At 42.2% G+C, this 9226-nt stretch overlaps 1 long non-coding RNA gene across 1 annotated transcript; it reads left to right on the top strand.

Moving 5' to 3' along the window:
- Positions 1-462: 462 nt before the first annotated feature.
- Positions 463-8897, top strand: ZNF276-AS1 (ZNF276 antisense RNA 1). The gene is made up of 3 exons (NR_149007.1): positions 463-685; positions 5980-6246; positions 8190-8897. It is a non-coding gene; the product is annotated as a ZNF276 antisense RNA 1 (long non-coding RNA).
- The last annotated feature ends 329 nt before the right edge of the window (positions 8898-9226 follow it).

The raw sequence follows: 9226 nt of genomic DNA, 5'->3' as shown, positions 1-9226 counted from the left end.
TTGACAAGTCAACAATCAAAAGTTTTACTTTAATTTCACCCTTTCTTGGTTGTTACTGTACATGTGGTTTACAAAGAAAAGGGAAGATGGAGCCACCATTTTGAACAGGCATAGTCCCCAGGCAACCCCTTTTCCTACTGGCATAGCGTGGGGGTTGTAAGACAATACATTCAAGCTTATGTACAAGGCATTTGAGGTTGAGGCATGGAAAAATACTGAGGCACTGTGTGTATGTTGTTTGTGCATGAGACTGTAATTCCTTGACCCTGAAAACAGGACAAGGAACAGAATGTGTGATAAAGAGTGCTGAACACAGCCTCCTAAGAATGTGGTTTGAGTGCTTTTAGATGTTATAAACAAGGCCATATGTGCCTCATGACCCGAATCCAAATAGCCACCTGGTGGATGTTTCTTGTTTGTCTAAATTGTAGTTCAACAAGCCTTCTCAATAAATACTTGGCGGATGAATCTTAAAGCAACACTCCATTGGAGGAGCTGCTCCCTTCCCCGTTCAGCTGTAATTGTCTGAATATTTATTTCTCGGCATTCACTGCAGAACAAGCTGCAAGTGGTGACTCGGACGTGATCAAGTGGTGACTCGGACATGATCAAGTGGTGACTCCGACGTGATTGCCTTGAAGTTATGCATGGAGTAGGATGACTCACCAATCTTCGGGGAATACCGGTAAGGGACAGTCCCTACCCATTTTCAGGAGGACAGCACCGACGTCTATAATACCAGGGGTCGGGTTACCATGGATCAGGAGTTGTCCAAAGAGCAGAAAGTATTTTTTAAAACGGTGCAACATTTACTTAAGGTTATTCAGTGCACCATAGAGTCTGAAGCTTTGCATAAGCTTATGTTTTTAATTCGGCAGGAATGCCCTTGGTTCCCTGACCAAGGAACATTAGACTTAGAGTTATGGGAGCAGGCAGATTGCTGCCTGAAAAGAGGATTTGAGCAGGTCCATTTTACTAATGTTACCGTTTTGATCACCTGGAGTCTGGCATGTTCTGTGTTGTACCCTCTTTATATGCCAGATCGTGGTGAGTCAGATTGCCCATTTTCTTCACCTGAAGGGAATTCGGAAAATTTAAAGGAAAAGGGGACACAGAAAGCAGAACAACAGGAAGGAGTTCCTCCCCCAACTTCACTCCCTTCAGTAGGGCATAAAGAAGACACTTTTTCTAGTGATGATGAGGACGGACTGGAGCCTTTTCCTCTCTCAATAGAAAAGCCATTGCCCTCTTTTCCTCCACCCTTCACACGACCTGCATCTGTTGGCCCCATTCAGGCAATAGCACCTCCCATCCCCCTTGAGTAGATTGGAGGCCGTCCAAGGGACTGTTCTTGGATAAGACCTCCAGGCAGTGAACATTTATATGACTGGATGGCCGTGTCCCCTCAAAAAACCTCCCTACTAGAAGGATGCCTCCAGGAGGGACTGAGGAAGGAAGATCCTGAGGCGCTTTTTAGTGCATTCCCTGTCATTGTTCAAAATAATAGGAGACGGCATGAGCGCTTGCCTTTTATTGTCTTTAAGGAATTAAAAAGAAGTATCTGCAAAAATGGTGTACATTCACCCTTTACGCAGGGGATGGTTGAGGCTCTGGGAAATGGTTATGAGATGGCTGTGCATGACTGGAAAACTCTGGGAAAAGTTTTGGCTTCAGCTGCTGAATATACTGTGTGGTGGAGAGAGTACAGTGATCTAGCCATGCAGCAATCCTTGCAAAATTTGGATAATATCCTGATACAGCTTGATATGTATGCTGTTGGAGACAGGGCCTTTTGCTTCAGCTCAGGCTTAGGCTCAGGTGGATGGCCGTCTATTTCCTCAATGCTCACAGCTAGCGATACAGGCATGGAAGAGGATACTCATGGGACAATTCCAGAGTTCCTTTGTGATGGTTAAACAGGGTGCCACAGAAACATATGTTGAATTTATCAACCGATTGCAGGCTGCAATTGAAAGACAGGTACCTCATCCTGAAGTCGCTAAACTTCTTATGTTGCAATTGGCTTTTGAAAATGCAATAAGGATTGTCAGGCAGCAATAACCCTAGTCTGAGCCACTGCCACTGAAATCGGTGTGTTTATTAAAACGTGCCAGAATGTAGGCACTTACAACTTATCTGGCTCAGACTTTTGCTGCAGTGATGACTGGGGCCACATGTTATAATTGTGGCCAAACTGGGCATATGGCCAAAGAATGCCAACAGAAGGGAGTCCCAAAGAAATCAAAGGCCCCTAAAATACCCTCTCAAGAATGCCTGCGATTCAGCAAAGGTAAGCACTGGGCTAATCAGTGAAATTCAAAATTTGATAAGGATGAAACCCATTATTGGGAAACGGGAAGAGGGGCAAGACCTCCAATGCCCAGAAAAATCCATGGAGGAACACCAATTCCCAGACTTGGGGAATGACTTTCCCCTCTGAGTCAGGACCAGAAATAGCATCCATAACCTCTCTTCAGCCACCTCTGGCAGCGCAGGGCTGGACCTCACAGTCATATCAGATATGGTGCTTAAAGAGCAAGATGGGGTCCAGCTGATTTCTACTGGAATCTATGGCCCATTACCCAGAGGAACGTTTGGATTGATTATCAGAAGTACACTTCAAGGAATTCAAATTTTCTCTGGAGTCATAGATTCAGACTATTTAGCAGAAATTAAAGTTATGGCACAGGTGTCAGGGGTCCATGCCATCTCTAAAGGGACTTGCCTTGCTCAGATTATTCTTACTCCTTACCTTCAAGTAATGTTCAACAGACCTGTGGGGCCTCAGGATTCGGCCACTCAGGCATGAAGGTTTTTTGGAGTACTCCAGTGTCATGTCATAGACCATACTTAGAAGTAACAATTAATGGAGTTATGTTTATGAGAATTGTTGACATGGGGGCTCATCAAACTATAATAGCTAAAAGACAGTGGCCTTCAGATTGGGCCTCTCCTGCCTGATGTTCTGTCATGGGTGTTGGAGGGTATCAACAGCCATTAAAAAGTAGGCATATTCTTCCACTTTTGGGCCCGGAAGGCAAGGTCACCCATGTTCAGCCCTTTATCTTAAGAGATTCTATTTTCTCTGTGGTAATGAGATGGCCTAGAACAGTGGGGCTTAAACCTCTCTGTCCTGCCCCCTTTTTGGTAGGGGCCACTGCTCCTTTGAAAAGTATCAAAACCAAGTGGAAAACTACTAGCCTGCTATGGGTGGAGAAGTGGCCCATTAAGAAGGAAAAATTGCAACACATCCAATGTCTCGTACAAGAACAACTAGACACGGGCCACATTGAGCCTACTACTAGTCCCTGGAACACTCCTATTTTACCATTCTAAAAAGGTCAGGAAAGTGGAGGTTATTGCATCACCTCTGTGCTATTAATGCTGTAATGTTTCCTATGGGGCCTTTGCAACCAGGATTACCTTCTCCAGTTATGATCCCCAAAGACTGGCCTCTTATTTTAATTGACCTAAAGGATTTTTTTTTTAACCATACCCTTGCATCCCGAAGATCGAGAAAATTTTGCTTTTATTGTTTCCACTTACAATACTCTGCAACCAGTTTAATGTCACCAATGGACAGTTCTACCCCAAGGGATCATGAATAGCCCTACTATATGTCAGCTTTACGTACATGAAGGCTTACTTCCTGTGCATCAATCCTTCCCCTAGGCAAAAATTTTCCACTATATGGATGATATTTTGGTAGCTGCTCAGCATCAGTCATTACTGCATCAACTTCATGCAATGGTAGTACAGCATATGTCACTATATGGTCTCATTATTGCACAAGAAAAAGTCCAGCTGATGGCTCTGTGGCTCTATATACTCTGTGGCTCTTATCTACTACCCTCAGGCCACAACTTACAGAATTAATTCTTCCACAGCACTTAACCCTTAATACATGATATTGAGTCCTAGGAAAGATTAGTTGGATATGATCCTATTTAGGCATTCCTACAAATTACTTTAATCTTTTTGACACCCTGAAAGGTGACTCTGCTTTAAATTCACTGCAAGACCTCTCTTGGCTGGAACAGGCTGAGCTTAATGCTGTGGAGCAAGCCTTGACCCAAAGGTGTATATTGGGTCTAGATCCTGACAGACCTATACATCTTTTGATCTTTAATACCCCTCAAAGTCCTACAGGAATGCTTGGGCAAGTTGGAACAAATGTTTCTCCTTTGGGGCAGCTTTACCTGTCTTGTAACCCCCTCCCTAAACACATACAAAAGACCACAGATTTAATAGCTTCTCACAACGGGATGCCGACATTGCATCCAATTGTCATGATATGACCCTACTACTCTTTTCTTACCTTTAAGCAAGGAACAATTTCATACTCTCTTAGCCTGTGATCTTGATTGGCAAGTTGCAATGATCAACTTTATTGGTAATATTAGTTTCCATTTACCAGCCTCTAAGCTCCTGAACTTTTTACAAACTGTGCCTGTTAAATTTGCATGTATTGTTGTCTCTGAGCCCTTGCTTCACACCACTACTGTCTTTACAGATGGTTCAAGGAAAATGGGAAAGTCAGCTATAGTGTGGCAAGATGCCATGCAAAATTGGCAGCACAAAATCCAGGAACATTTCAAAACTACTCAATAGGCTGAGTTAGGTGCCCTAATATTGGTGTTACAAACTTTTCCTCACCAAGACATGAATATAATTAGTGATTCCACTTATGCGGTGTATAGTATTACTCATTTAGATCTCACACATCTAAAAGGCATTACTAATGAACCCCTACTAACCCTGTTTCTCACAACACAGGAGCTCCTTTGTCCCCATCATCACCCTTTTTATATCACACATATTCGCTCTCATTCTGGGCTACCTGGTCCCTTGTCAGCAGGGAACACTCCAGCTGATGCTCTGGTACAAACACAGATGAGGTTTGCAGACTGTCCTGCATATTTGTGAGCTCAAGCTGATCATTCCTTTTTTCATCAGAATGCTCACAGTCTTTTGTTTTTGTTTTTGTTTTGAGATGGAGTTTCACTCTTGTTGCCCAGGCTGGAGTGCAATGATGTGATCTCGGCTCACTGCAACCTCCACCTCCCAGGTTCAAGCGATTCCCCTGTCTCAGCCTCCTGAGTAGCTGCGATTACAGGCTCATGCCATCATGCCCAGCTAATTTTTGTATTTTTAATAGAGACAGGGTTTCATTATATTGGTCAGGCTGGTCTCAAACTCCTGACCTCAGGTGATCCACCCACTTCGGCTTCCCAAAGTGTTGGGATTACAGGTGTGAGCCACTGTGCCCAGTCTGCCTACAGTCTTAAACAAGTTTCATTTAACACTTGATCAAGCTTGCATGATTATTAAAACTTGTCCTGATTGCCAACAGCATTCTCTCTCCCTTTTTTCATTGGGACTTGGTGCCAACCCATAAGGTCTGGTACCTAATGCTACCTGGCAAACTGGTATTACTCAGCATCCACCTTTTGGATGCTTTAAATTTCTCTATGTTACTGTGGACACTTATATGGGCCTCATATATGTGACTCCATGGACTGGAGAAGAAACTAAAGATGCAATTGCTTATCTTTTTGAATCTATTATGACCTTAGGCCCTCCACAGACTATTAAAACTGATAATGGTCCTTGCTATCTTAGCACTAGCTTTTTATATGCATTGCAACTTTGGCACATACAACACAAAACTGATAGTTCTTATAACTCAACCTGTCAGGCCATTGTTGAACAAGCTCATCAAACCCTTAAAGCATATCTTAATAAATGAAAAGGGGGGAATATGGGAGCTCTCTCCTCGAGAATGAGCAAAAATTTTATTTACTCTTCATTTTTTGAATATTGGATAAGATGGCCAGATGGCTATTGGTCATAGGATGAAGCTGTTTGAGGTCACAAAATGAAAGGTGTTAATTCGAGACATTTGTACAGGGAATTGGGAGGGACTTTATGAGGCATTGCAATGGGGTCAAGGTGCGGTTTGTATTTCATGAACTACAGGACTAGAGTGGATCCCCATAAAATGAGTGAAGCCATAATATGAGTTAGAGACTACTGAAAAAGCCCCTCCTGATGATGAAGGACCTGTCATTGGAGAATCGACCAAAACTGACAGTGATAACTTGGAAGGCACCTGACATTACCTGGGGACAGCTAAAGAAACTGGACCAACAGGGAACTATCTGGCTTGCATCTATGGGAGCCCCTGAAACTGCAGAGAACCAGTTTCTTATGTATCTGATGGTAATTGGGGGAGCTTCTGAGAAGGTAAGACAGACATGGATGTTGGGGTGGCTGGTAATTCTTGTTCTTTGCCAACTGGGCTTAGCTCAAGAACATGTTTATTGGAGTCATGTTCTGAATCCCTCAATTTTCAATGTTATTATGTGGTGGGATGCTGACCCGCCTTTGTCATCTTATAATACTTCTTGGATGGGAGGTCGATGGATGCCCCTGTCTTACTCCCTAACTGGAAATTTGGGATGGATTAAACTTAATGACTCCTTGACTTTATTGTCTAGCAATCCTCCTCTCTGTTTCTCTACATGGGCACCTAAGTGTATTACTCTCATTCCTCAGGAGTATCTTTACTATCAGCCCAAAAGGGATGCTAAGCCTGCAAACTTGACTTTTATTTCTGCTGTTACCAGTAATCTTACTGAGGTTTCTAATGAAATTATACAAATGCCTGATCTTCTGATATGCCATCTGAGAAAAGACTGGCGACATAAGTTTGAGGCTGTCCAGTGGTCCCCATGCAGACAACCTGTGCCGCATCAAGGACCTCTGTTTGATAATGGCACCTTACTTGACTGGGGACCCCATGGATATCTCATGTCTGCAAATCAGACTATTGGATTTGGGACTCCATCCAATAGTTCCATCACCTGGTCAGAGTATGGGATTTCAGGATGAATATTACAATCAAAAGGGGAATAAGTTTTAAGCCCTGCTCATACCCAAATTTGGAAACTAGGTCTTCCCTTTTTTGAATGGGTTCTTTCATAATAAAAGTGATTACATTTATAGCGGTCACAACTACACCCTCTCCTTGCACAATAATGTTACTGATACAGTCCTGATTTGTGCTATACACCCTTATATACTTTTGTTTGCGCAGGATATTCCTAACACAGAACAGAATCAATCCTTTTATAGTATTACTGTCTCTTCCAGTAGTTGATACGCTACATGCTTGTCTCATCAAAACATTACACAATTATAAACTATGTCATGATTTTTTTTTTTTTTTTTTGAGACAGAGTCTCACTCTGCCACATGGGCTGGAGTGCAGTGGTGTGATCTCAGTTTATTGCAACCTCTGCCTCCTGGGTTCAAGCGATTCTCCTGCCTCAGCTTCCCAAGTAGCTGGGATTACAGGCATGTGCCACCACGCCCAACTAGTTTTTGTATTTCTAGTAGAGACAGGGTTTCACCATGTTGGTCATTCTGGTCTCAAACTCCTTACCTTGTGATCTGCCCACCTCAGCCTCCCAAAGTGCTGGGATTACAGGTGTGAGCCACCACACCCGGCCCTATGTCATTATTTTAAAGTGGTGGTCAGGATTGTGGCTCCCTGTATATCCAACCCGGAACTGGAAAGGGGATTCTATCTTGCAGTTATTTAGAAAAGCATTGTCTCATACTCAAAAAAAAAAAAATTTCTGGCCACTCTAATTGCCTTTTTAGTTTCAGCTATTATTATACTAACAACTGCTACTACTGCAGCTGTCTCTTTGACGGAATCTATTCATACAGCCTCAGTGGTGAACCACATGGTATACAATGTAATCCATGAATTTCAAAAACATGTAAATACTGATAAAAATATTTTATCTCACCTAGAGGCCCTTGAAGCTGCCACTGAATGGCTAGGGGATCCACAGCAGGCATTCGTTACTTGTCAAAATTTACATTGTGATTAGCAATATAATTCCATCTGTGTCACATTTATGCCATATAATAGCTCCCAATATACCTGGGAGAGAGTGAAGGCACACCTACACAGGGCTTACGGCGACCACCTGTCTTCTCGAGTTTCTACTCGTTAGTGTGAATTAAATAAACAGTTTAAGCGATGGTTGCAGCAATTACAAACACCCTTCAGTTATTACAAGACTTTCAGTGGTTGAACCCAAATACTTGGTTGTCTGGGCTAAACATACAAATTTGGGTGATAGCCACTGTTTATCCTTTTTTGTATCTTTTAGGCATCTGCAAATGGCTCTGTGCTGCCACTCAACCAACTATGACCAGGGAAGAATGATAGAAGCTTACTTTGCATTGGATAATCCGCATGTTCTAAGAATTAAAGAAGGGGGAAATGTGAGGGGTGTATGACAATACATTCAAGCTTATGTACAAGGCATTTGAGGTTGAGGCATGGAAAAATACTGAGGCACTGTGTGTATGTTGTTTGTGCATGAAACTGTAATTCCTTGACCCTGAAAATAGGACAAGGAATAGAATTTGTAATAAGGAGTGCTGAACACAGCCTCCTAAGAATGTGGTTTGAGTGCTTTTAGATGTTATAAACAAGGCCATATGTGCCTCATGACCCGACCCCAAATAGCCACCTTGTAGATGTTTCTTGTTTGTCTAAATTGTAGTTCAACTAGCCTTCTCAATAAATACTTGGCAGATGAATCTTAAAGCAGCACTGTCTTGGAGGAGCTGCTCCCCTCCCTTTCAGCTGTAATTGTCTGAATACTTATTTCTTGGTGTTCACTGCAGAGCAAGCTGCAGCACAGCTGCCGGCATTTATTCATGCAAGATTCCAGCTTGCTTATCTATGTCTGCAGCTCAATTTTACAGGCTGCTCTTTGTTAAAACAAAAAAAACAAAACAAAACAAACAAACAAAAAAAAAAACCATAATTTGTGGACTTCTTTTTATTAAAAAGAAAACTTTACCAATGACTTTTTTGCTCTATCTGCCTAAATAATTTCAACTCCTGTAACAATAATAATGTCAAAGGAAACATTTATAATGTATTTTTATGTATGAATAAGCAAGATAGCAAACCCAAATAGTGGATGTTTTTAATTTATTTATACAAATGTGTTGGGTACAAGTGTAATTTAGTTCCATGCATAGATTGCATAGTGGTAAAGTCAGGGCTTTTAGGGTATCCATCACTCAATGTACATTATAACTATTAAGTAATCTGTCATCATACACCACCATCCTACCTTCTCACCCTTTTACGTCAGGAGTGCTGGCCCTCAATGACCAACACAAAATAGAT

This window comes from Homo sapiens, chromosome 19 (genome assembly GCF_000001405.40).
Source record: "Homo sapiens chromosome 19, GRCh38.p14 Primary Assembly".
In the NCBI taxonomy this organism is placed as follows: domain Eukaryota; kingdom Metazoa; phylum Chordata; class Mammalia; order Primates; family Hominidae; genus Homo; species Homo sapiens.
Note: the sequence above shows the minus strand (reverse complement) of the source record. Positions and strands in the feature narration are given on the sequence as shown.